Raw genomic sequence first — 27,804 nt, 5'->3', positions numbered from 1 at the left:
GAGGGGTCTATGCTTTGTCAGGGGAAACAAATTGTCCCCAAAGCAAAATAATTTTGATTCTGTCTGTGAATTTCTATAAAGTCAGTACAAATGTTACCCAAATTATACTCTTTTTTTTTTTTTCTTTGAGACAGTCTCGCTCTGTCACCCAGGCTGGAGTGCAATGGTTCAATCTCAGGTTCAAGCAATTCTTGTGCCTCAGCCTCTGGAGTAGCTGAGATTACAGGTGCGCACCAGCATGCCTGCCTAATTTTTGTATTTTTAGTAGAGACGGGTTTCACCATGTTGTCCAGGCTGGTCTCAAACTCCTGGCCTCAAGCCATCTGCCCACCTCGGCCTCCCAAGGTGCTAGGATTACAGGCTTGAGCCACCGTGCCCGGCCTCCAATTATACTCTTGTAGAAGAGTTGATGAGCGCAGATTTTGCCATAGGTTTTATCTCCCGGGACATCTCATGTTTCAGGATTAAGGGACATTCAGTGGTGGGTGAGGCTGGGAAGGGTGAGGATGCATGTAGGCCTTAGTTCTGGACCAAGAGCTTCTAAGTATATAATGCTTTTAATCATCCTCACCAGTGGTCTTGGGAAAGAGCAGGCATTTTTTTTCTTCCTATTTTATTGTCAAACTAAGTCACAGATGGCAAAATAAACTTGAGGCAACATCGTGGATCAGTGGCAGGATGCAAATAATATACTCATTCATCCAAATGCCAACCTCAGTGCTCTTTCCTCTCTACTATATTTTCAAGGTATGCTCTATGGACATTTAGAGGTTCTTTTTTTTTTCTTTTTTTTTTTTTGAGATGGAGTTTTGCTCCTGTCACTCAGGCTAGAGTGCAATGGTGAGATCTCGGGGCTCACTGCAACCTCCACCTCCCGGGTTCAAGCGATTCTCCTGCCTCAGCCTCCCCAGTAGCTGAGATTATAGGTGCCCTCCACCATGCCCGGCTAATTTTTGTATGTTTAGTAGAGACGGGTTTCACCATGTTGGCCAGGCTGGTCTCAAACTCCTTACCTCAGGTGATCCACCCACCTTGGCCTCCCAAAGTGCTGGGATTACAGGCGTGAGCCACCATGCCTGGCCCTAGAGGTTCTTTGGAGCTTCTTTGAAACATATCCTCATTATCCATGCTTTATATGTGTTCTCTTTCAGGCTGGACTTGAATATTAAATCGAGCCTTAGGGTGAGATTTTCCCCTGTTGGTATTGTTTTGATAATCACTTTTTGGACAGCACTTGAAGTGAAAGAAAGAAGGATACAGTTTATGTATTTTTTTTTTTAACCAGAGAACTAAGAAAACAGAATTTCTTAGAAACAGACACATTTCACCAAAATGAAATGGAATGGTTTCAGACTCTTAGGAAAAGAAGCAGGGCCTCACCCTGTCTTATCCCTCCTGACATTTCCTTTTTCACCTCAACATTGATTCAAGATCAGGTGGTTTCACTTTCTCACCAAACTCTTATTTAAGCAGGTTAGATTTGACTCATAGCTATTCTCCTGTGAGAAACAGCATTATCATAATTATTTTGCTCTGGAATCTTTGTCCAAAAGGTATGCAACTCTCTATTAAAGTATGATATAATATCAGAGCCACCTTAGGAATTCTGGATCGTCAGAAGACTTCACTTGGGTACTAATGGTCTGTAGTCCCTGAACCCCTTGGGGATAACTTATGAGGAAGGCTTTTGGAATGCGTAGGGTCAAGTTCCCTTCAGCAGTGTGTGGATAGATACATGTAGTACCAGAAGCTAAATTACAAAACCTTATAAACGTCAACCAGGGAGATCAGGAGTCCCACTCTAAGCTATTGAGGGCCAGTGAGTGTGAAGTCAGCTGTGAAGATAACAGAGGAGCTGGAAGCTATGTCACACTAACAGCTGCCTTGTTTCTTAGAGGCTGTGTTTGAGTCTTCTGTCAAAGAGAGTAGTAAGGTCCATTCATAGTGCTTGCAGGGAATACTTTTTGTTCTCGTTTGAGGGGATGGAAAGGTATCCATTTAGATGGATGTATGAAGTGAATTACAGAAGGTTGTGGCTCAGATAGGGGCATGAGGGTAACTCTGCTAAGCCCACACTCTCCCTTCATTAACCAGGAATTGGTGTTTGATTGTAATGTCCCTGCTGAAGATACAAGTGTGAAATTGGCAAGAATGTGCCCATATTAATAGGGAGAGGACTGTGTAGTATCATTCAGTCTTTGAGATAGAGCAGAACTTTTCAGAAGTATGTCTGGTGGATAACAGTGATCTCTGCAGCTTTCTTTGGGTTTGATGAATTGGCAGCATCTTGTCCAACCTAGAGATTGAAAGGAAATATGAAAGTTAAAAAAGGATGCAAGTGTATAGTTCTTCATGTACCAAGAAAAGGGCTGGCTAAGTACAAAACCCCATGTAATTCCAAGTGCACTTCATTTTGCCTCTTTGTTAATCGATAATTACACTGAGAAAGTATGATCAAGGTGCACATAGGTATGAGAACCAATAATTGCTTGGAACCTATAACCCACTAGCAAAGTAATTAAAAGATCTGGATCATAGTTCTGTTTCTAACAGCTGTGTAACCTTGGGAAGTCACATAACCTCTTCAAGCCTCAACTTAAGTATGAGTAAAATGTAGATACTTGCCCTGGCTACTTTCCAGGATTTCTGTAAGGCTCAAATGAGATAATGTATATAAGATTGCTATCTTAGTACTATTTTTTTTTGAGACAGAGTCTCGCTCTGTCACCGAGGCTGCAGTGCAGTGGTGTGATCTCAGCTCACCGCAGCCTGTGCCTCCCGGGTTCAAGCGATTATCCTGCCTCAGCCTCCTGAGTAGCTGGGATTACTGGCGTGTGCCACCATGCCTGGCTAATTTTTTGTATTTTTAGTTGAGACAGTTTCACCTTGTTGGTCAGGCTGGTCTCAAACTCCTGACCTCATGATCCATCCACCTCGGCCTCCCAAAGTGCTGGGATTACAGGCATGAGCCACCACGCCTGGCCCTATTTTTATTCCTTTATCATTTAGTAGCTTATTGTGTTCATAGAAGTTCAATCACAGTTGCAGCTACCTGGTTATCTCTAATTCTATTCTGGACTAGACTTTGTAGTCCCTTCAGGCCTATTTCTTCCAATGTTCAGGAGAAATGATAATTTTTTTTTTTTTTTGGACACAGGGTCTCACCCTTTTTCCCAGGCTGGAGTGCAGTGGCTCGATCATAGCTCATTGCAGACTTCAATTCCTGAGCCCAAGTGATCCTCCCACCTCAGCCTCCCAAGAAGCTAGGGCTACAGGCACATGCCACCAGCTGGCTTTTTTTTTTTTCTCTCTTTTTGAGACGGAGTCTTGCTCTGTCACCCAGGCTGGAGTATAGTGGCGCAATCTCGGCTCACCACAACCTCTGTCTCCTGGGTTCAAGCAATTCTCCTGCCTCAGCCTCCCGAGTAGCTGGGACTACGGGTGCACACCACCATGCCCCACCAATTTTTGTATTTTTAGTAGAGACAGGGTTTCACCATTTTGGCTAGGATGGTCTCAATCTCTTGACCTCGTGATCCACCTGCCTTGGCCTCCCAACGTGCTAGGATTACAGGCGTGAGCCACCGTGCCCGGCCCAGCTGGCCTTTTATATATATATATATATATATATATATATAATTATGTATAATATATAATTATATATAATATATTATATATAATTATATATAATATATATATAATATATTATATATAATTATATATAATAAATATATAATTATATATATTTATATATAATGTGTGTGTGTATATATATATATATATATATATATATATATATATACTTTTTTTTTTAATAGAGACAGTGTCTCGCTATGTTGCCTAGGCTGGTCTCAAACTCCTGGACTCTAGCAAGTCTCCTGCCTCTGCCTCTGCCTCCCAAAGCACTGGGATTGCAGGCATGATGAATCAGGCCTGGCCTTAAAAATCTTAAAAGTAAGATTCTTGACTCCAATCTAAATGATCTGATTCAGTTTATATGGGGCCCAGAGGTATGTGTATTCAATAAGCACCCTATTGTATCATGTCTGGACTGATGTTAGGAAAACAGTAGGATAAAATCCTACCTATTTCCTGACATAAGAAGGATTGCCCACATTTGCTTCATAACTGAAGCAGCTCCCTGTTCCCAGCACATTAAAAAAAATATTTTTTCACAGTCCTCTTAGGGACGAATCTCCTAGCACTTATATATTAACCCCATTTTCTGTTTTTCTTTTTTTCTTTCTTTTTTTTTTGAGACAGAGTCTTACTCTGTTGCCCAGGCTGGAGTACAATGGCACAATCTCGGCTCACTGCAACCTCCACCTCCCAGGTTCAAGCGATTCTCCTGCCTCAGCCTTCCGAGTAGCTGGGAGTACAGGCATGTGCCACCTGGCTAATTTTTGTATTTTTAGTAGAGACAGGGTTTCGTCATGTTGGTCAGGCTGGTCTCGATCACCTCAGGTGATCCACCTGCCTCAGCCTCTCAAAGTGCTGGGAATAGAGGTGTGAGCCACCACGCCCGGCCCCTACCCCACCTTCTTTAAGCAAATGACATAAACCACACAGAGAACACTTTCCTTCTGGGGCTGAGAGTCAGGCTTGGATTCAGCTGTCCCAGGTGGCTGGCCTCCCTTCTTTTGCCATCTCCACAACCACTGGCATTGGCACAGCTTCCTGGCTCCTAGGCATTGATACTGAAGGGAGAAAATGACTGGTATTAATATGAAGTGGCTGGTAAGCATTTGGTTTTCTTCCAAACCTCTTGTTGGGCAACTTAAAGGAAGCCATCTCTTCTAAATAAAATATTCAGTCCTATTGGACCTATCCTTCCTAGAAAATGTCTAAGTACAGCAGAGGAAAGGAACTGCATTTAGTGAGCACCTGTGTGCCAGGTGCCTTTCACACAGAATCTCAATCTTTATAACTACCATGAGAGGCAAATATCATGAGACTTATTTTACACATGAGGCCACTGAGGTTAGAACAGTCAAGCAACTTTCCCAACACCACTCAGCTAGTGAGTGTGAGTGGCACATCTCCTCAAATTCCAAAGTCTATGCTTTTCTCCTTATGCCAAGCTGCCTCTGGAACAGAAGAAAGTCTTTATGGGTCAAGTTCAAGGATTCAATACAACAGCAAACTTACAGGACATGGGACTTCAAAAATTACAAATACTATAATGGCAACTCCACTGAGCAACAGGGTGACAGCAATCAGAATTTTGACCACAATACTCCATTTCTGTCTCTTCTCTAGGTTCTCATCTGTGTCTAAAGGAGAGAGGGGAGTGGAAGAGGGAGAAAAGAAAATTTGAGAGAGGAAAGAGATTGATCCTTTGACCTGAAGTTCTTCTGGCTCACAAGACTATTAGAGGCCCAGACTAACCCAGAGGCAGAGGCAGAATTTCCAATTCAAACTCAGGGCTGGAGGGGGTGTGAGGGTGAGCTGAGCATCATGGGCTCTGCTCTAACTTCTTTTGCACTCTCTTCCCACTGAGTCACCTTCCCTGGAATTGGGGATTTTCCATAATCACATAGGGCTGATTCTTACACTGCTCGCAGGAAGAAAAATCTCGGGTACACATGGAGCTCTAAACTTCTTTTACTGTCAGCTTTATCAGGGTTCCTACCATTTTGCTCTGACACATTTTATGGGATTAGAAAGTCGCCTTTCCTATGTTTCTCCTGGCTTTCATAGAATATAAGAGGAAGAAATGTAAAAATTAGCACTGCTTCTGGGTCAGAAGCTCAATCTGGCGGCAAATGGCTAATATGCATTTTTTTTCTCACTCTGGCACTCAAGACTGGCATGCAGTGGCACAATCTTGGCTCACTTCAGCCTCAATCTCCCAGGCTCAAACCATCCTCCCACCTTAGCCTCCTGAGTAGCTCAGACCACAGGCGAACGCCACCATGCCCGGCTAATTTTTAAAATTTTTTTATACAGACAGAGTCTCATTATATTTCCCGCTGAGCTTGAACTCCTGGCCTCAAGTGATCCTACAGTCTTGGCCTCCCAAAGTGCTGGAATATTACAGGTGTGAGCCAACTCACCTGGCCCTAATGTGCATCTCATTATTACTAATATCACATTTTTCCCCTGGTAGAAACTAGGATGTAACCCAAATTGGAATCTTACAGAATTTTAGTCCTGGCCAATTTAAGGAGGACTGTTGCTAAAAAAACAGTGAAGAAGGCTGTGTGCGGTGGCTCATGCCTGTAATCCCAGCACTTTGGGAGGCTGAGGTGGGTAGATCACTTGAGGTCAGGAGTTTGAGACCAGCCTGGCCAACATGGTGAAACCCGTCTCTACTAAAAATACAAAAATTAGCCAGGCATGGTGGTGCATGCCTGTTGTCCCAGCTACTCAGGAGGCTGAGGCAGGAGAATTTCTTGGATCCGGGAGGCAGAGGTTGCAGTAAGCTGAGACTACGCTACTGCACTCCAGCCTGGGGGACAGAGTGACACTCCATCTTAAAGAACAAAAACAAAAAAACAGTGAAGATGAAAGTATGCTGTTGGAGGCCCAGCGCAGTGGCTCACACCTGTAATCCCATCACTTTGGGAGGCTGAGGCAGGCGGATCACAAAGTCAGGAGTTCGAGACCAGCCTGGCAAACATAGTGAAACCCTGTCTCTGCTAAAAATACAAAAATTAGCCAGGCGTGGTGGTGCATGCCTGTAATCTCAGCTACTCAGGAGGCTGAGGCAGGAGAATTGCTTGAACCCAGGAGGGGGAGGTTGTGGTGAGCTGAGATCACATCGCTGCACTCCGGCCTGGGTGACAGAGTGAGACTCCATATCAAAACAAATATATGCTCTTGGGGACGGGCGTGGTGGGCAATGCCTGTAATCCCAGCAGTTTGGGAGGCTGAGGCGGTAGGATCGCTTGAGCCCAGGAGTCTGAGACCAGCTTGGACAATGTGGTGAGACCCTGTCTCTACAAAAATTTAAAAATTAGCTGAACATGGTGGCACACACCTGTAGTCCCAGCTACTCAGGAGGCTGAGGTGGGGGGATCACTTGAGCCCCAGAGGTCAAGGCTGCAGTGAGCCATGTTTGCACTACTGCACTCCAGTCTGGGCAACACAAGACCCTGTCTCAAAAAAAAAAAAAGAAAAAGAAAAGCACTTGGTTGGTGTCATCACTCTTATAATTGCTTAGTGTTTAAATATTGTCCATCTATACATACAGTGGTTAGAATTACCTACTACAGAAATACAGTTTTTTCTGTCCCTAATTCTGGCGACAGGGTGAGCTCATTTGCGTGGAGATAAATGATCATTGATGGTGTCAAATTACAAACATTTCTGGGACCTTTATAGAGAAGCTAATTTTGTTGTTGTTGTTGAGACAAAGTCTCACTCTGTCGCCCCTGCTGGAGTGCAGTGGGACAATCTCGGCTCACTGCAGCCTCCACCTCTTGGGTTCAAGCGATTCTTCTTTCTCAGCCTCTCAAGTAGCTGGGGTTACAGGTACCTGCCACCACGTCCGGCTAATTTTTGTATTTTTAGTAGAGGCGGGTTTTCACCGTGTTGGTCAGGCTGGTCTTGAACTCCTGACCACAGGTGATCCGCCCACCTCGGCCTCCCAAAGTGCTAGGATTACAGACATGAGCCACAGCACCCGGCCTAGAGAAGCTAATTTTTTAAAATAAAAAATTGAATGATTTTTCAATGTACATTCAGTAACTTCTCAACCTCAAGAAAAATATCAGTAGATCCAGACTAACGCTGGGGCTAAAAATGTTTCTTTTCTGTTCCCATTTTACTCCTACTTATTCTGTACTTTGTCATTTCAAAGCTAGAAAAATTACCGGTACTTGTAGTTTTCTCTCCTTCTTTATTCCCAGGAGTTATAGAAGGGGCAGTGGTGGGAAAAGTCTCTGATGAAGCCCCCAGGACTTTACATTGTGAGATCCCTGGTAAAAAAGCTATAAAACAAAGTAGAAAAGATGAAACTTTAGGGGAAAACTTTATCCTGCCTTTGGTTTTATCTGATGAAACCCTGCCCAGCTGATAGTAAACTTCCAATTGTGGTCCCATTAACCTGTCTGTCCATAGGTTTAGGGTGTGAGCACAAAATAATGCCAAGAGTAAATGAGGATAGAGACACTAATAAGAGATATGGATTAAATGCCCATGGGACTTTTAACTAACATAGGATCAAAGTGAAGGAGTCATGCCAATGATATCATTGCCTATCATTATTTAGGCCATAATAATAATAAAGATGAAGGCCATAAAAACTGTTGACAGTTTCCTTCTTTAAAAAGAGATGGCTCCAAAGTCCAAGGAAGAACATGAAATATCACAGTTAGCCTTAATGACTGCTGCAAGTGTGTCTAGTAGAATCTAGATCAACTACTCTGAGAGGGGACTGGGGAAAGCAGGAGGAGCTGGAAGAAGGAAAAGCCACCCAGCTTCATGTACTCCTTGATTTCATTCATTCAGCAATTTTTTTTTTTTTAAGACAGGGTCCCCCTCTGTCACCCAGGCTGGAGTGCAATGGTGTGATCTCAGCTCACTGCAACCTCTGCCTCCCAGGTTAAAATGATTCTCGTGCCTCAGCCTCCCAAGTAGCTGAGACTACAGGTGCATGCCATCGCACCCGGCTAATTTTTATATTTTTTGGTAGAGATGGGGTTTCACCATGCTGGCCAGGCTGGTCTTAAACTCCTGACCTCAAGTGATCTGCCCACCTCGGCCTCCCAAAGTGCTGGGGTTACAGACATGAGCCACTGTGCCCAGCCTGGCCTTGCTTTCAAAGGATCTCTGGGCTACTGTGTGGGGAATGGGTTGGGGTGGGCAAGGGTAGAAGGAGGGTAACCTGTTAGGAGGCCATTGCAAAAGTCCAGATGAGAGATGATGTGATTCACACCAGCAGTGGAAGTGATGGGAGATGGATAGAGTCTAGCTGGAGTCTGGAAATAACCTCACTCGTCTCCAGAATTGACCTAATCCAATTCAGACAGTGTGGTTTCTGTTCTATTTTTAGTGGTCTCATATCATTGCTTATTAAATTAAGGTCTATAAATTCTACTTGACTTTTCTAAATTACTCTTCCATGTCTTAAGTCCATGAGAAAATGATAGTTCTTTACCTCAGAGGCCAGTGGCCATAGTACCAGGCACTGTACATGAAATCATAGGGGAAGAGGTGATCCCCGATTCCAGTTTAATCAGGAAGACAGTGTTGGCAGACATTGGCAGAGACAGACATAAAGTCAACAAGTTCAAAAGAAAAAACAAGAACATTTTCATCATAGTGCTAGTCAGTTCTTCGAAGTGATAACTTACATGTTTATAAGTCACATTAGATAAAAATAAACAAATCTCACTTTGGACAAGTCACCACAAGTTATCTGTGTTTTTTTTTTTAATCTGTAAGATGGTAATAGTAAAATAATACTTGCTCTACCTATTTCACAGGGGTGTTGTGAAGATCAGAAACAAATAAAAATGAGAAAGCATGTGTGTAAACACTTTGCAAACTGAATGATATTATGATTGAAAGAGGGGGAAAAAGATGACCTAATGAGTCATCTGTCTCCACCAGAAGGAAATTTTGAAATATTGATAACAGCCGTCTTTTCCTTTTCCAAATTTCTTAAATAATAACAAATAGTCTCCATTTACCTTTTTCTACATTCCATGTTGACCCACATCTTCTGATGAGCATTTGTATTGCAGAACATTCTCACCCTTACAGTTCCAAATTTCTATTTTACTTGAGGACATTTTCATGAACTGTCTTCTGACCATTTCCAGGACATCCTCCTATGCAGACTGTCTGGGACAACAGGCGCACACCACTACACCCGGCTAATTTTTGTATTTTTAGTAGAGACGGGGTTTCACTATGTTGGCCAGGCTGGTCTCGAATTCCTGACCTCATGTTCTGCCCGCCTCGGGCTCCCAAAGTGCTGGGATTACAGGCATGAGACACCGCGCCCGGCTCTAATTTTTATTTCTACCCTGTTTGAGGTTTATCACTTCTGGTATTGAGTGGAGATTTAAATTCAGGATAGGAAGTTTCAAACTTGTAGAAGGGATTATGTTTCAAAAGTTCATACATAAATTGGTTGTTTTGGACCAAGTGAGGTGGCTCACGCCTATAATCGCAGCACTTTGGGAGGCTGAGTTGGGCTCAAGTGATCTCACTTGAGGACAGGAGCTTGAGACCAGCCTGGCCAAAATGGCAAAACCCTATCTCTACTAAAAATACAAAAAATTAGCTGGGCATGGTGGTGCTGTAATCCCAGCTACTCGAGAGGCTGAAGCACGAGAATTGCTTGAACCTGGGAGGCGGAGGTTGCAGTGAGCTGAGGTTGCACCACTGTACCCCATCCTGGGGGACAAAGCGAGACTCTGTCTCAAATAAATAAATAGGTTTTTTGGGATTCATCATTATGGTTTCATAAAAATGTATCATGAGTGATGATTAGGTCCCCAAACTAATCTACAAATATCCATTTAATCTTTTTGCATAGCTCAAATAGTACAGAGTATTAGCTTAAATTCTAGATGTGGGAACCAACTACTATGTTATGAAGGAAAGAGGAAGAGTTTCTTTTTCTCTGGGAGGCTAACCAAGTGCAAATTTTTGAATTAGGTCAGGTTGATCTTTGGCATCTCTCCTCCCCCTTAACCCCTCAGTTTTCCTTGTCCCAATTTCTAAGAGCTAATGTCCTTAATTGCCCCAAGTCTCACAATGCCTAGCACTATATTCACTCCACCCAGAGTGCTCCAAACTCCAAAATGACTTAAGTCCACTTTTCCCCAACACAGCTGCCATGGACAGCAAGGTGTCACATGTTAAGAGGGAAACAATTGGATTTAATTAATTTGCATTAATATTCAAAGTTCAAAACCCTGCCAGAGTCTTTTGAGTTTGTTTATTTTTTCAGATGGAGTCTCGCTCTATTGCCCAGACTGGAATGCAGTGGTGTGATCTTGGCTCACTGCAACCTCCGCCTCCCGGGTTCAAGTCATTCTTCTGTCTCAGCCTCCCGAGTAGCTGGGACTACAAGCGCGTGCCTCCATGCCTGGCTAATTTTTTTATTTTGTTTTGTTTTGTTTTTTGAGACAGAGTCTCGCTCTGTCGCCAGGCTGGAGTGCAGTGGCGTGATCTCAGCTCCCTACAACCTCTGCATCCTGGGTTCAAGCTATTCTTCTGTCTCAGCCTCCTGAGTAGCTAGGACTACAGGCACACGCCACCATGCCCAGCTAATTTTTGTATTTTTAGTAGAGACGAGGTTTTACCATGTTGGCCAGGATGGTCCTGATCTCTTGACCTCATGATCCGCCTGCCTCGGCCTTCCAAAGTGCTGGGATTACAGGCGTGAGCCACCGCACCTGACGCTTTTGAGTTTTTAAGAGTTTTTCTGTAACATCCTGAGAGCCTATCCACTTATTTCCCAGTTTTAGTCTAGAGTTTAAAGTTTTTTCCATTATTCTGCTTGTGGATCCCCAATTTCTCTAAAAATGTCAAGTTTTATTTTATTTTTCCAGTAATGTAGCAATAGCATCTAGGGGACTGCCAGTTTATAAAGAGGAACCGGCTACACTAAAGAAAAAAAAAAACTATATGAAAAAAAGAAAGGGTGAGAAAAGGAAAGGAGGGCAGAAGGAGAGAAACTTCAGGCTGAGGTTAAGAACCACTGTCCAGCAGCTGTGGGGGAATAGGCATTCTCCCCCAGTGTGGATATGCACAATGGAACCAACCTCTAGTGAGGGTAATTTAGCAGTAACTATCAGCCTTTGATGCAACAATCCTGCTTCTTGGAATCTTATTGATAAATTGATAAATCTTATTGATAAATTGCAGGTATACAAGAAGAATATATATAGATACTGAGTAATAGTGAAAGAGGGGAAAAGAATTTATTAAAAGAAAAAAGAGAAAAAAGAAGAATATATACGGTCATTGTTTTCGGAATTGTTTGTATTTGCAAAAGATTGGAAACGACCAAAATATATATCAATAGGGGGCTAGTAGAATATAGAAGAGACATGGCCGGGTGCAGTGGCTCACGCCTGTAATCCCAGCACTTTGGGAGGCCAAGGCGGGCAGATCACAAGGTCAGGCGATCGAGACCATCCTGGCCAACACGGTGAAACCCCATCTCTACCAAAAATACAAAAAATTAACTGGGTGTGGTGGCGAGTGCCTGTAGTCCCAGCTACTCGGGAGGCTGAGGCAGGAGAATGGCGTGAACCCGAGAGGCGGAGCTTGCAGTGAGCTGAGATCGCACCACTGCACTCCAGCCTGGGCAACGGAGCGAGACTCTGTCTCAAAAAAAAAAAAAAAAAAAGACTATGGAAGAGACATACTATGGAATAATGTAAAACTGTTAAAAAGAATGAGGCAAATATAAAAAAGTATGGGGTAAATATATACGTATTGAAATGGAACGACCTATAAGATATATTATTAAATGGAAAAGCAAGGGATTGGCCAGGCGCAGTGGCTAACGCTTGTAATCCTAGCACTTTGGGAGGCTGAGGTGGGTGAAACACTTGAAGTCAGGAGTTCAACACTAGCCTGGCCAACATGGTGAAACCTTGTCTCTACTAAAAATACAGAAATTCACTGGGTGTGGTGGTGGGCACCTGTAATCCCAGCTAATTGGAAAGCTGAGACAGGAGAATCACGTGAACCTGGGAGGAGGAGGTTGCAGTGAGACGAGATCGCGCCACTGCGCTCCAGCCTGGGTGACAGAGTGAGACTCCATCTCCAAAGAAAACAACAACAACAACAACAAAATAACAATAACAACAAAAAACAAAAACAAGCAAAAGCAAGGGGCAGAACAGTGTATATGGTATGTTACCATTTATGTTTTTAAAATATGCACATTCATACATTCTTAGAGTATCTCCGGAAGGAAATATAATAAGTTGATAATAGTGGTTCCATCAGGGATAGAGAACTGGAGAATTGAGAGACAGGAGTAGGAGAGAGACTTACTTTTCACTATAAATCTATACTGTTTGAATATTTTACTGTGTGCATGCAAAATGAAATTAAAAAAAAAAAAAACCTGGCCAGGCACGGTGGCTCACGCCTGTAATCCCAGCAGTTTGGGAGGCCAAGGCGGGCAGATACTTGAGGTCAGAGATCAGAACCTGCCTGGCCAACATGGTGAAATCCTGTCTCTACTAAAAATACAAAAATTAGCCAGCCATGGTGGCAGACACCTGTAATCCTAGCTACTTGGGAGGCTGAGGCAGGAGAATCACTTTAACCTGGGAGGCAGAGGTTGCAGTGGGCCAAGATCGCACCACTGGACTCCAACCTGGGTGACAGAACGAGACACCATCTCAAAAACAAAAACAAAAAAAAAGAAATTTTAAAAAACTGTTGAAAGAAGATCCATCAGAAATGGAGATCACATGAAAATCACAGAGTATCAGGGCTAGAAGGGATCTTAGAGATTATAAAACTGACTCTCAGAGAGCACGTAGATTTGCCCAAGGGGAGGATAATTCATTTTCTTTTTTTTTTCTTTTATTATTATACTTTAAGTTTTAGGGTACATGTGCACATTGTGCAGGTTAGTTACATATGTATACATGTGCCATGCTGGTGCGCTGCACCCACTAACTCGTCATCTAGCATTAGGTATATCTCCCGATGCTATCCCTCCCCCCTCCCCCCACCCCACAACAGTCCCCAGAGTCTGATGTTCCCCTTCCTGTGTCCATGTGATCTCATTGTTCAATTCCCACCTATGAGTGAGAATATGCGGTGTTTGGTTTTTTGTTCTTGTGATAGTTTACTGAGAATGATGATGTCCAATTTCATCCATGTCCCTACAAAGGACATGAACTCATTGTTTTTTATGGCTGCATAGTATTCCATGGTGTATATGTGCCACATTTTCTTAATCCAGTCTATCATTATTGGACATTTGGGTTGGTTCCAAGTCTTTGCTATTGTGAATAGTGCCGCAGTAAACATACGTGTGCATGTGTCTTTATAGCAGCATGATTTATAGTCCTTTGGGTATATACCCAGTAATGGGATGGCTGGGTCAAATGGTATTTCTAGTTCTAGATCCCTGAGGAATCGCCACACTGACTTCCACAATGGTTGAACTAGTTTACAGTCCCACCAACAGTGTAAAAGTGTTCCTATTTCTCCACATCCTCTCCAGCACCTGTTGTTTCCTGACTTTTTAATGATTGCCATTCTAACTGGTGTGAGATGGTATCTCATTGTGGTTTTGATTTGCATTTCTCTGATGGCCAGTGATCATGAGCATTTTTTCATGTGTTTTTTGGCTGCATAAATGTCTTCTTTTGAGAAGTGTCTGTTCATGTCCTTTGCCCACTTTTTGATGGGAGAAAATTTTCGCAACCTACTCATCTGACAAAGGGCTAATATCCAGAATCTACAATGAACTCAAACAAATTTACAAGAAAAAAAACAAACAACCCCATCAAAAAGTGGATAATTCATTTTCTTGTAGCTTTTCCTGCTACGGAGTTCTGGCTGCCTTCAAGGATGTCAACTAAAAGTTAGTGCCTGCCCCCTTCCTCTTTTCCAATCTCACCTTTGCCTTTTAGAAGAGATCCAGTCTGAAACTTGGATGTGGGGATTAGGTGACAGCTTGAGGAGGCAGAGCTGTTTCTGCGGGGAGCAGCAATGATTCTCAGGTTCTTCAAAATATGCTTGACCTTTGGCCTTCTCTCCAAATATACAAGGTTGACTTTTACTTTGCTGTCAGAGCCAAGGCACTGCAGGGTAGCTATAGTCCGGTTTTGAATGAATGTTGTCCTTTTGGTTTCTGTGTGAGTTTCTGGAAGGAGAAGAACCAGATAGAAAAATGGAGCTGGTTTTGTTTTTTGTTTGGTTGGTTTTTTTGAGACGGTGCCTTGCTCTGTCACCCAAGCTGGAGTGCAGTGTCGCAATCATGGCTCACTCCAGCCTCAAACTCCCTCGATCTCCAAGCAATCCTCCCACCTCAGCCTCCTGAGTAGCTGTGACTATGGGACTACAGGTGTATGCCACTTTGCTCGGCTAATTTTTTAATTTTTTAAAAGACAGGGTCTTGCTGTGTTGCCCAAGCTGGTCTCGAACTCCTGGGCTCAAGCAATCCTCCCACCTTGGCCTCCCAAAGTGCTGGGATTACAGACATGAGCCACCGCACCCGACCTTGAAGCGTTTGCTCTTGTGGTCCAGGCTAGAGTGCAATGGCACGATCTCTGAGTTTTGCTCTTGTTGCCCAGAGTTTTGCTCTTGTTGCTCAGGCTGGAGTGCAATGGCGCAATCTCAGCTCACTGCAACCTCCGCCTCTCTGGTTCAAGTGATTCTCCTGCCTCAGCCTCCCAGGTAGCTGGGGTTACAGGCGTGCACCACCACATCCAGCTGATTTTTGTATCTTTAGTAGAGATGGGGTTTCACTATGTTGGTCAGGCTAGTCTCAAACTCGTAAGCTCAAGTGATCCACCTGCCTTGGCCTCCCAAAGTGCTGGGATTACAGGTGTGAGCCACCATGCCTGGCCAAAGCTGGTTTTTAATCTGAACAGTGCCAAGCTAACCCATTTCCATTCATGACCCCTGCTAAACTCCACTGCTGTACTTTCTCTCCTTTTAGTTAACTTCTTCAGTTTGTGTTCATAGTACTAATAGACAAGTCCTGCCTTTCTTCTGCCATGGTTCCCATGAAGGTTGGTGACAGCAGTAAATTTAGCACAGAGAAATGCTCATAGATTTTTCTTTAATGCAGAGAGGGGTAGGTTCTGCCTCCTTCTCTTTTTTCATCTCCATCCATTTGAGTAATATAAGCATGCCTTAGGTAATGACAGTTAATTTAAAGATTGGTTTCCAGAAAGCCCCCTGGGAGGATACATATCCTTAAAATAGGATATTTGAGATATGGGCTAGGAAGTGGGAAGATGAGATATCTTTTAAAGGTAAAAATTTTTTGGAATGGCAATATCATTTTCCAGAAAGGACCCATTCCCTACCTTGCATTTGCAATTCTCTGATGCTTCTCACGTCTTTTGGGAAGATCCCAGGCAGCTGTTCCAGTCGGCAACTGCTATCTCTGAGGTCTGGGGGTGAGCAGAGGGGGAGGAGGGGAACCGGGGAAGGTTTGGGGAAAATCAGAATTTACTGGTACTTACTTTTTAGAATTCTGGGCAATGGAGAAGATATGAAAGATTGCAGTTCCTGCTCATAAAACTTGCAACTTGGGAGATCAAACACTCTCTAAAAAGACTTTACTTTTATTTATTTATTTATTTATTTATTTATTTATTTATTTATTTATTGAGACGGAGTCTCACTCTGTCGCCCAGGATGGAGTGCAGTGACGTGATCTCCGCTCATTGCAACATTCACCTCCTGGGTTCAAGGGATTCTTCTGCCTCAGCCTCCCGAGTAGCTGGGATTACGGGCATGCACCACCATGCCCAGCTAATTTTTGTATTTTTAGTAGAGATGGGGTTTCGCCATTTTGGCTATGCTGGTCTCAAACTCCTTACTTCAGGTGATCCACCTGCCTTGGCCTCCCAAAAGTGCTAGGATGACAGGTGTGAGCCACCACGCCCGGCCCTCAAAAAAGAACACCCAGCCAAATACATACAAAGTAGTAGTTGACCTAGTATAAAGAATACTGTGTACCAATCTATTACCCTTAGGACAAAGAAAGGTCAAATAGAGTTAAGAAAATTTACTAAGTTAATGAAAGTCTAACCAACCCATTTCCTTAAATACTGCTTATTTTCTCTTCTCCCTCCTATTCTGTCTTCTTTCTTGTATTAAATAAAGCTTTTGGAGATTTATATTGTCTGACCTTGGTATCTCTATAGGTTTCCACAGAACCATAGGTCTTAGTTATTTATGCTTTTTGGCACATAATTCAAAGGGTTGTGACATTTTTATAATTTGTCAAATTCGTTACTGCTGCACTTTGTGCCATTTGGTCTTAATTCTGATTAGCTAATTTTATTTTTTTATTTTAATTTTTTATTTTTTGAGACAGAGTCTCATTCTGTTACCTAGGCTGGATTTCAGTGGTACGATCTCAGCTCATTGCAACCTCACCTCCCAGGTTTAAGTGATTCTTATGCCTCAGCCACCCGAGTAGCTGAGATTACAGGTGCATGCCACCATGCCTGGCTAATTTTTGCACTTTTAGTAGAGATGGGGTTTCGCCATGTTGGCCAGGCTGGTCTCGAACTCCTGACCTCAGGTGATCCACCAATCTTGGCCTCCCAAAGTGCTGGGATTACAGTCATGAGCCACCGTGCCCAGCCTTGATTAGCTAATTTTAGAGATGAAATGTTTATGAAACTTTGAAAACTCATATTTTAAATAAGCAGTTACCAAAGAGCAGCAAATGATGCCATTCCACCCAATATCACCCTTTCCCTCAGCTCTCCCCACCCAAGAATATCACCGTCTAGCTATTTACATGTACCAACTTAAAAAAGGCAACATCTTATGAACAGTATGAATTTGGGAACCTTAGGTGATGACAATACTGAAACTCTAAAGAAAGCCATCCAACAGTGAAAGGACTTTTAATGTTAATTACATGAACAAGACATAAGAATGCATCACATTCTCTGAAGACCTCTCATCATGAAACAGACAGCTATCTCTCTGGAATGAATAAGTTGCAGTCCTTCTTAGAGGCGAGTGGATACATGGGATTAACTCTGGAAAGTATTGCTTGCTGGATATCAGCTACATCTCTATCTGGTGGAAGAGACCCCGAAACTCTTTCTAGGCCTCTCTCTGTATTTTCCAGGAGATTAGGCTAGAGAATTACATACCTTTCTTGTTGGCATCATAGGATGCAATGATTAGGCTGAAGACCAAGATGGTATCCATGTTAGCTTGAGCACATGCTCATTGCAGACAGACCACTGCTCATCTGTCACAGCCCTTGATAGCTCTGCCTCTAGTTGCTTTCACCACACGCAGCTGGAACCAAGTTTGACCCTGAGAGACTCTGATTCCACCCTGATTATTTTGCCCCATTTCCTGAAGACCCAGGAATAGATCTAATTGGAGAAAGGGCTAATTCTGCTTATTAATAATTCACTCAGACTTCTTCTGACTTCGCTGCCGGTGCCGACATAGAGAACTAGATTACCTAGAGGTTTCTCGAGCAGGAAGGCCATAAACGCCCATTGATATGCTTTACAAATACTTGCAGATAGACACGTAGACATTTACATGCATGCTCACTGACACAGGCACAGAGATTTATATACTTTCATGAAAAGATGTGGAGATTTCTAGTAAGGAATATAATTTCTAGAGCAGGAATTATAGAAATAGAGCAGGAAACTAGGACTAGGAGTCAGTACAATTGAGTTCTAGTACAGGCCCTTTTATGAGCTATCACCTTGAGAAAATTACTTGACTTCTTGGGATCTAAATGTTCTCTTCTATAAATTGAGAGTCCTGAACCATATGATCTCTTTTTTTTTTGAGGCAGAGTCTCGCTCGGTCGCCCAGGCTGGAGTGTAGTGACACGATCTCGGCTCACTGCAAGCTCTGTCTCCCAGGTTCACGCCATTCTCCTGCCTCAGCCTCCTGAGTAGGTGGGACTACAGGCGCCCACTACCATGCCTGGCTAATGTTTTTGTATTTTTAGTAGAGACAGCGTTTCACCGTGTTAGACAGGATGGTCTTAATCTCCTGATCTCGTGATCCACCTGCCTCGGCCTCCCGAAGTGCTGGGATTACAGGCATGAGCCACCGTGCCTGGCCTTTTTTTTTGTGAAATGGAGTCTCGTTCTGTTGCCCAGGCTGGAGTGCAGTGGCATAATCTTGGCTCACTGCAACCTTCATCTCCTGGGTTCAAGTGATTCTCCTGCCTCAGTCTCCTGAATAGCTGGGATTAAATGTGTGTGCCACCCTGCCGGCTAATTTTTATATTTTTAGTAGAGACAGGTTTCACCATGTTGGCCAGGCTGGTCTCGAACTCCTGACCTCAAGTGATCTGCCCCCATCGGCCTCCCAAAGTGCTGGGATTACAGCCGTGAGCCACCCCAGCCGGCCGTGAACCATATGATCTCTAGAATTAATCCAGTTATATATATAAACTCACATTAGCACAGACATACCTATTGAGTTTTGCACATCTTCACACTCCTGAATAGTGAAGTGAGTATTGGTGGACAACATTCTGATGACCATTGGGCTGAGAGGTTGTGAGGAAGAGCTAAATACGGCAGGTGAGTGGTACTGTCTGTGGCTTGGGAAGGTTTTCCTAGACAGATAACTGTTGTTGAAGATTTTTCCAAATTTGTATTTTTTTAGTGTCTAGTGTAATAATCTGTAGACTTTGTCATGGCATAGATAGATGGAGCATAAAAGAGAATGAAGGGCCGGGCGCGGTGGCTCACGCCTGTAATCCCAGCACTTTGGGTGGCTGAGGCGGGTGGATGACCTGAGGTCGGGAGTTCGAGACCAGCCTGACCAACATGGAGAAACTCCATCTCTACTGAAAGTACAAAAATTAGCTGGGCATGGTGGCGCATGTTTGTAATCCCAGCTACTTGGGAGGCTGAGGTAGGAGAATCGCTTGAACCTGGGAGGTGGAGGTTGCAGTGAGCCGAGATTGCACCATTGCACTCCAGCCTGGGCAACAAGAGCGAAACTCCGTCTCAAAAAAAAAAAAAAGAAAAGAAAAAAAAGAGAATAAAGATCTACCCCATCTTTATCAAACTCTACAGCTTCTTTGGTCTTGTTTTATTTTGGAGATGGGCTATGTTTTGTAGAGACACAGTCTCACTGTGTTGCCCAGGTTGGTCTCAAACTCCTGAGCTCCAGTAATCTGCCCACCTTGGCCTCCCAAATTGCTGGGGTTACAGGTGTGAGCCACTGCACCCAGACTAGAAAACTTTTTAAAAAAGTTTTGCTATGAGAAAGAAAGCAGAGAAATGAGGCCACTGACTAGAGGGAACATAAATGCCTCACATCTTTATTGGTCCAAGGAAATCTTTATTCATCCTCCCCACCCTCTTGCCTCTGGCTGCCTGCTTCTCTTAGCAGAGGAGGTGGTTAGGGCAGAGGGGCTCCATTGCCTTCCTTGGGTTTTGTGATTTTTGCTTACTATTTCCTTAACATGATGACATGATTCTCTGCTCCCCTGAGGTATTATCACCTTCCCTCCTGTTGCTCTATTTGAAACTCTCTGTACATTAGTTCCTAGATGCCACGGTACAATGCTGCCACCTTGGAGCAGGAGTAGGAATTGATCTGAGGGCTTGCTGTTCTCATCCAGTGTCACAAGGTGGCAAAAGAGCTCACTTTTCCCAAAAGAGACCTTGTGCTTGGCGAAAGATGAAGTCTAAGAGTTTTCTTTGATCACCTCGCAGACCCTACCCTTTTCTTTTGTAACTTAAAGACTCTAAAGTCAGCCTGGGCCAGGCACGGTAGTTCACACCTGTAATCCCAGCACGTTGGGAGGCCAAGGCGGGTGGACACTTGAGGTCAGGAGTTCAAGACCAGCTTGACTAACAAGGTTAAACCCTGTCTCTACTAAAAATACAAAATTAGCCAGGAGTGGTAGCGCATGTCTCTAATCCCAGCTACTTGGGAGGCTGAGACAGGAGAATCATTTGAACTCAGGAAGCAGAGGTTGTGGTGAGCCAACAGCACACCACTGCTCTCCATCCTAAGCGACAGAGCAAGACTCCATTTAAAAAAAAAAGTCAGCCTGCATATTGGAGTAGGCCATACTGTCGGGGGCAGAGCGGTGGAAGAGCTGCAGTCAAAATATCCAGGAGTAGGCCGGGCACCGTGGCTCACGCCCATAATCCCAGCACTTTGGGAGGCTGAGTCAGGTGGATCACGAGGTCAGGAGTTCAAGACCAGCCTGGCCAACATGGTGAAACCCCATCTCCACCAAAAATACAAAAATTATCTGGGCGTCGTGGCACATGCCTATAGTCCCAGCTACTTGGGAGGCTGAGGCAAGAGAATCACTTGAACCCGGGAGGCGGAGGTTGCAGTGAGCCGAGATTGCACCACTGCACTCCAGCCTGGGTGACAGTGCGAGACTCCATCCTCCCCCACCAAAAAAAAAAAAAATCCAAGTGTAGACAAATAGATCCATGTTTCTATTATTTCTAATAGACTATTTCTCTACTCCTAGATATTTTGACTGACTTTCTAAGCATTTGGAATATCAGTGGAGCAGAGTATATCTCTTCTGATCTCCTTTTCCCACAACAAAAACATCAAATTTAGCAGGAAAAAAGTTATGAGTTTTATGACATATGCAGTTCAGAGATATGGCGTTGGAAGAGAGTAGGAACTAGGACCAAATGGATGAATCAGGATGGGTCTGCAGAAGGAGCACTTGACAGGAAGCCAGGAGGCCTACCCTAGGCTCTTTAATTGACTAAATCAATTTGAACAGGTCACTTGTCTTCTCTTGGCCTCTATTTCGGTTTCTGTAATGAGGTGGTTAGACAAAATGGCTTACAAGGCCTCTTCTAGCTTTAAAATTATTGTACCTGCACACTATGCTACTCTTTTTTTTTTTTTTTTTCGAGACAGAGTCTCGCTCTGTCGCCCAGGCTGGAGTGCAGTGGCGCGATCTCGGCTCACTGCAAGCTCCGCCTCCTGGGTTCACACCATTCTCCTGCCTCAGCCTCCCAAGTAGCTGGGACTACAGGTGCCCGCCACCACGCTTGGCTAATTTTTTGTATTTTTAGTAGAGATGGGGTTTCACCGTGTTAGCCAGGATGGTCTTGATCTCCTGACCTCGTGATCCACCTGCCTTGGCCTCCCAAAGTGCTGGGATTACAGGCGTGAACTACTGCGTCTGGCTTATGCTACTGCTTTTTAAAGGCTGCATGCCATTTTGTTCATTTGTTTTGGTTTGTTTTTAAATTTAAAAAATTTAATAATGGAGGCAGGGTCTCAGTATGTTGCCGAAGCTGGTCTTGAACTCCTGGCTCAAGCAGCCCTCCCACCCCAGCCTCTCAAAGTGCTGGGATCATAGGGATCAGCCACCAGCATGGCCATTTTATTTCTTTATTTCTTTTCCTTTATTTTTTTTTGAGACGTAGTCTCGCTGTGTCCCCCAGGCTGGAGTACGGTGGCGTGATCTCAGCTCACTGCAACCTCCGCCTCCCAGGTTCAAGCCATTCTCCTGCCTCAGCCTCCCGAATAGGTGGGATTACAAGCGCCCATCACCACGCCTGGCTAATTTTTGTATTTTTAGTAGAGACGGGGTTTCACCATGTTGGTCAGGCTGGTCTCAAACTCCTGACCTCAAGTGGTCCACCCGCCTCAGCCTCCCAAAGTGCTGGGATTACAGGCGTGAGCTACTCGGCCTGGCCGCGGCCGTTTTTTAATTGTGGAATATACCATATATACAGGAGAGTATATAGAACATAAGTATATTTTCAATAATAATAATAATACTGAAAAGGTGAACATATGTTACCATCACCCAAATTAAGAAATTGAACATTGCCAGCATCATGGATGCTCTTTACATGTCTGTGCCTCTGGTCCTCCGGTCTCTTTCCTCCTCCCAATCTTTATTTTTCCATGTTTTGTAAAATCATTGAACTATCAGCCGGGCGTCGTGGCTCATGCGTGTATCCCAGCACTTTGGGAGGCTGAGTTAGGTGGATCACCTGAGGTCAGGAGTTCAAGACACGCCTGACCAACATGGAGAAACCCTGTCTCTACTAAAAATACAAAATTAGCCAGGCATGGTGGCAGATGCCTGTAATCCCAGCTACTCGGGGGGCTGAGGCAGGAGAATCACTTGAACGCGGGAGGTGGAGGTTGCAGTGAGCCGAGATCGTGACATTGCACTCCAGCCTGGGCAACAAGAGTGAAATTCCATCTCAAAAACAAACAAACAAAAAAATTGAACTCTCTATATATGTATCACTAAAAATATTTTGTTTACTTTTGAATGTTATATAAATGGAATCAAACTCTATGTATTTTTTTTTTTTTGAGATGGAGTCTTGCTCTGTTGCCCAAGCTGGAGTGCAGTGGCATAATCTCAGTTCACTACAACCTCTGCCTCCCAGGTTCAGGCGATTCTCCTGCCTCAGCCTTCCAAGCAGCTGGGATTACAGGCATGTGCCACCAAGTCCGGCTAATTTTTGTATTTTTAGTAGAGACGGGGTTTCGCCATGTTGGCCGGCCTGGTCTCGAACTCCTGACCTCAGGGTGATCCGCCCACCTCAGCCTCCCAAAGTGCAGGGATTACAGGGATGAGTCACCGTACCTGGCCTAATTTTTATTTATTTATTTATTTATTTATTTACATTATTTTTGGAGACAGAGTCTAGCTCTGTCACCCAGGCTGGAGTGCAGTGGCACAATCTCGGCTCACTGCAACGTCCACCTCCCGGGTTCAAGCAATTCTTCTGCCTCAGCCTCCCAAGTAGTTGAGACTACAGGCACACACCACCATGCCCGGCTAATTTTTTTTTTTTTTTTTTTTTTTAGTAGAGACTAGTTTTCACCGTGTTGCCCAGGCTGGTCTTGAACTACTGAGCTCAGGCAATCCGCCTGCCTTGGCCTCCCAAAGTGCTAGGATTACAGGCGTGAGCCACCGCGTCTGGGCTGGAAATTTCTTTTATGTGTTCTCCCAGTCACTCCTCACCATCAAAAGTAAATATTATCAGCTGGACACTGTGGCTCACACCTGTATTCCCAGTACTTTGGGAAGCTGAGGCAGGTGGATCACCTGAGCTCAGGAGTTCAAGATCAGCCTGGCCAACATGGTGAAACACCGTCTCTACTAAATATACAAAAATTAGATGGGCATGGTGGCTCATGCCTGTAGTGCAGCTACTCAGGAGTCTGAGGCAGGAGAATCGCTTGAACCCAGGAGGCAGAGGTTGCAGAGCCGAGATTGGGCCACTGCACTCCAGCCTTGGTGACAGAGTGAGACTCTGTCTCAAAAAAAAAAAAAAAAGGAGGGGCCAGGCGCAGTGGCTCACGCCTGTAATCCCAGCACTTTGGGAGGCCAAGGAGGGCAGATCACCTGAGGTCAGGAGTTGGAGACCAGCCTGGCCAACGTGGTGAAACCTCGTCTCTACTAAAAATACAAAAATTAGATGGGTGTGGTGGTACGCACCTGTAATCTCAGCTACTCGGGAAGCTGAGGCAGGAGAATTGCTTGAACCTGGGAGGTGGAGGTTGCAGTGAGCCAAGATTGCACCACTGCCCTCCAGCCTGCAGTTACAGAGCAAGACTCCATCTCAAAAACAAAACAAAAAAAAGAATGTATTATCCAGATTCTTGCCATCACAAATGAGTTTTGCCTATTTTTTTTTTTCTAGAAATGGGGTCTCTCTCTCTCTGTGTGTTGCCCAGGCCAGATTTGAACTCCTAGGCTCAAGTGATCCTACCATCTCAGCTTCCTGACTAGCTGAGACTACAGGGGCATGCACCTGGCTTGTTTTGCCCATTTTTTTGTTGTTGTTTTATTTTGACAGGGTCTTGCTATGTCACCCAGCCTGGAGTGGAATTGTGTGATCAAGACTCACTGAAGCCTCCAACTCCTGGGCTCAAGCAATCCTCCCACCTCAGCCACCCAAGTAGCTGGGACTACAGGCGTGTATCACTTGCCCAGCTAAATTGTTTATAATTTTTGTGAGATAGGGTCTCCCTATGCTGCCCAGGCTGGTCGCGAACTCCTGGCCTCAAGTGATCCTCCTGCTTTAGCCTCTCAAAGTGCTAGAATTATAGGCATGAGCCACTGGTACCTGGCCTGTTTTGCCTGTTTTTGTAGCAGGAAACATACATTTTTTGCTCAACATTATGTTGGTAAAATCCATCCGTATTTCTTCATGTAGCAATCATCTGTTCATTCTCATTGCTTTATAATATTTCATTGTATGAATGTATCACAATTTATATATTCATTCTCCTGTTGAGAGACATTTGTGTTGTTTCCAGTTTGTAGCCATAATGAGCAATGTTTCTGGGGCAGTTTTGAAAGTTTCTCCAGGGTATAAATCCAGAAGTAGACGCTGGTTATAGGGTATGTAGGGTATGTACAACTTTACCAATTAATGCCAAACTGTTTTCTAAGGGATTGTCCTCATTACACTCCTACTTGTAATATATGCAGGTTCCTACTATTACACATGCTTGCCAAAGGGGCCAAAGAATCTTTCCTGTGTGATGCAATAATAAGCCTGAGTGGGGCCAGGCATACTCACACGTGCCAGCCCTTTGGTTGGTACTCAGAAGCTCAGGCCACAGTCATTTGCTCCTTCCAAGTAAGGGTAAAGGATTCATAATATCCCAAGGTCCCTGATCACATGCTCCATTAACCTGGAAATATTGGGGCGGATGGGTTGGTGAACTGAATTTTCATTTTATTATTATTATTTTTTTAGATGGAGTCTTGCTCTTGTCACCCAGGCTGGAGTGCAATGGCGCAATTTTGGCTCACTGCAACCACCACCACCTGGGATCAAGTGATTCTCCTCCTTCAGCTTCCCGAGTAGCTGGGATTACAGGTTCCCGCCACCATGCCCAGCTAATTTTTGTATTTTTAGTAGAGACAGGGTTTCACCATGTTGGCCAGGCTGGTCTTGAACTCCTGACCTCAGGTGATTCACCCACCTTGGCCTCCCAAAGTTCTGGGATTATAGGTGTGAACCACAGTGCCCAGCCACTGAATTTTTTATTTATTTATTTTTTGAGACGGAGTCTCGCTCTGTCACCCAGGCTGGAGTGCAGTGGTGCAAACACGGCTCACTGCAACCTCCGCCCCTCGGGTTCAAGTGATTCTCCTTCCTCAGCCTCCCTCATAGCTAAGACAGGGCCTCCACTCTGTTGCTCATGGTGGGTGCAGGAGGCAGTGAATTTAGTAATGACACAATTTTTTGTTTGTTTGTTTGTTTGAGACGGAGTCTCACTCTGTCTTGCCCAGGCTGGAGTGCAGTGGTGTGATCTCGGCTCACTGCAACCTCCGCCTCCCGGGTTCAAGCAATTCTCCTTTCTCAGCCTCCCAAGTAGCTAGGACTATAGGTGTGTGCCACCACACCCGGCTAATTTTGTATTTTTGGTAGAGACGGGGTTTCATCATGTTGGCCAGGTTCATCTTGAACTCCTGACCTCAGGTGATCCACCCACCTTGGCCTCTCACAGTGTTGGGATTGCAAGCATAAACCACTGTGCCCAGCAATCACAATTTCTGAATTAATTGAGGATCCATAAAGCATTCTGTTCTGTATCGATTACTAATAGGAAATGAAAGGAAAGGAACATGGAGAGAAAGGGGAAAGTAATATTTTCTGTGTGCCTACTATCTAACAAGCTCTGTGCCAGAAGCTTAACATGTTGGTTACATCATTTAATCCAAAACACCACCTTAGAAGGTAGGCTTTATATCCTGAATATAAGATAGATATATATAATATAGATAAGGAAACTGAGGCTCAGAAAGGTGTCAGTTCCTCAAGGCCACAGAGCTAATTAGCGACAGAGTCAGGATTTAAAGCATAGCCTGATTAAAGAGCTCAAGCTGTTTATAATACAGAGCACAGAGAAGGTAGAGTTGCTGCCGCTCTTGAGACTGACACTGCCAATACCAAGAATCGGTTCTTCTCAGTTTTGCTTGCCTGTATTCACCCCCAAAACTATGTTATTCAACTGATTATGACCATCTTGTTCATTGATTGAAGCTACATTTCCTTTTCATGGATTTTTTGTTGTCTTTATTCTTTCTTCTTTTTTTTTTTTTCTTTTTCCAATAAGAAAATTGGGCACATCAGCACAATAGGTCCACTGATAAACAAGACTTGTGTTGGAAAATAACTTTCTACCTGCAGGTCTAGGAGTTAACCAGAGGTGAGATGATATATATATATATATTTTTTTCTGAGACGCAGTCTTGCTCTGTCACTCAGGCTGGAGTGCAATGGCATGATCTTGGCTCACTGCAACCTCCGCCTCCCGGATTCAACGGATTCTCCTGCCTCAGCCTCCTGAGTAGCTGGGATTATAGGTGCCTGCCACAACACCCAGGTAATTTTTGTACTTTTAGTAGAGACAGGGTTTCTCTATGTTGGTCATGCTGGTCACAAACTCCTGACCTCAGGTAACCCTATTGCCTTGGCCTCCCAAAGTGCTGGGATTACAGGCATGAGCCACCACACCTGGCCCAGAGGTGAGATTTTTTTTTTAAAAAGACGTGACATTGTGGCCAGGTGCAGTGGCTCACGTGTGTAATCCCAGCACTTTGGGAGGCTAAGGCGGGTGGATCACAAGGTTAGGAATTCCAGATCAGCCTGGCCAAAATGGTGAAACCCTGTCTCTACTAAATATACAAAAATTAGCCAGGCGTGGTGGCAGGTGCCTGTAATCCCAGCTACTTGGGAGGCTGAGGCAGGAGAATTGCTTGAACCCGGGAGGCAGAGGTTGCAGTGAGCTGATATCGTGCCACTGCACTCCAGCCTGGGTGACAGAGTGAGACTCCGTCTCAAAAAAAAAAAAAAAGACATGACATTGTGAAATCTTCTGCTCTAAGATATCACATACAGGAAAATTTTAAGACAAGGTATTAAAAGGATAAAAAGAAATTGAATGATGGCTCAATTTTTCTTGACGATAAAGGCTCTACAAAATTATTAATGTTATATTTTATTATGTATTGTGTTTCATATATAATAACAACAATAGAGAGTGAAGGTAGAAGACAGGTAGAGGCCTAAATATGTAGCAGGAAAAACCTGAACCTGATATAGGAATGATGGAGACACTAGGGAAGTCTAAAGAGAAGGTAGGGATGGGGCAGGAAATCAACTTACCAGGAGCACCGTCATGGCTTTA

The 27,804-nt window shown here is 44.1% G+C and overlaps 2 protein-coding genes across 15 annotated transcripts in view; one reads left to right on the top strand and one right to left on the bottom strand.

Annotated features, from left to right (window-relative positions):
• ACACA (acetyl-CoA carboxylase alpha) overlaps window positions 1-27,804 on the top strand; it is a 321,845-nt gene that overhangs the window by 12,894 nt on the left and 281,147 nt on the right. The window contains exons 2-3 of one of the 11 annotated variants that reach the window (NM_198839.3): window positions 24,456-24,573; window positions 26,883-27,000. The exons of 5 other annotated variants lie outside the window; for them this stretch is intronic. The gene's annotated coding sequence lies outside the window, so the exon portion shown is untranslated. Of the gene's footprint in view, window positions 1-24,455; window positions 24,574-25,176; window positions 25,275-26,220; window positions 26,824-26,882; window positions 27,001-27,804 lie in introns of those variants that run through there. 5 more of the 11 variants (XM_047435881.1, XM_047435879.1, XM_047435880.1 and 2 more) reach the window with 5 other exon arrangements.
• C17orf78 (chromosome 17 open reading frame 78) lies at window positions 1,235-17,958 on the bottom strand. Of its 4 annotated transcripts, NM_173625.5 has the most exons (7): window positions 17,793-17,958; window positions 15,978-16,064; window positions 14,561-14,806; window positions 7,818-7,934; window positions 5,149-5,273; window positions 4,581-4,697; window positions 1,235-2,296 (listed from the first exon to the last, which is right to left on the bottom strand). In NM_173625.5, exons 1-7 carry the CDS (start codon window positions 17,848-17,850, stop codon window positions 2,219-2,221), a joined length of 828 nt encoding a protein of 275 aa, NP_775896.3. In that variant the 5' UTR covers window positions 17,851-17,958; the 3' UTR covers window positions 1,235-2,218. The 4 variants fall into 4 exon arrangements, with proteins under 4 accessions (NP_775896.3, XP_011522950.1, XP_011522949.1 ...); XM_011524648.4 differs by lacking the exon at window positions 7,818-7,934; XM_011524647.4 differs by lacking the exon at window positions 15,978-16,064.

The sequence above is a fragment of the Homo sapiens genome, chromosome 17 (genome assembly GCF_000001405.40).
Source record: "Homo sapiens chromosome 17, GRCh38.p14 Primary Assembly".
NCBI lineage: Eukaryota > Metazoa > Chordata > Mammalia > Primates > Hominidae > Homo > Homo sapiens.
This window is presented reverse-complemented; position numbering and strand designations above follow the sequence as displayed.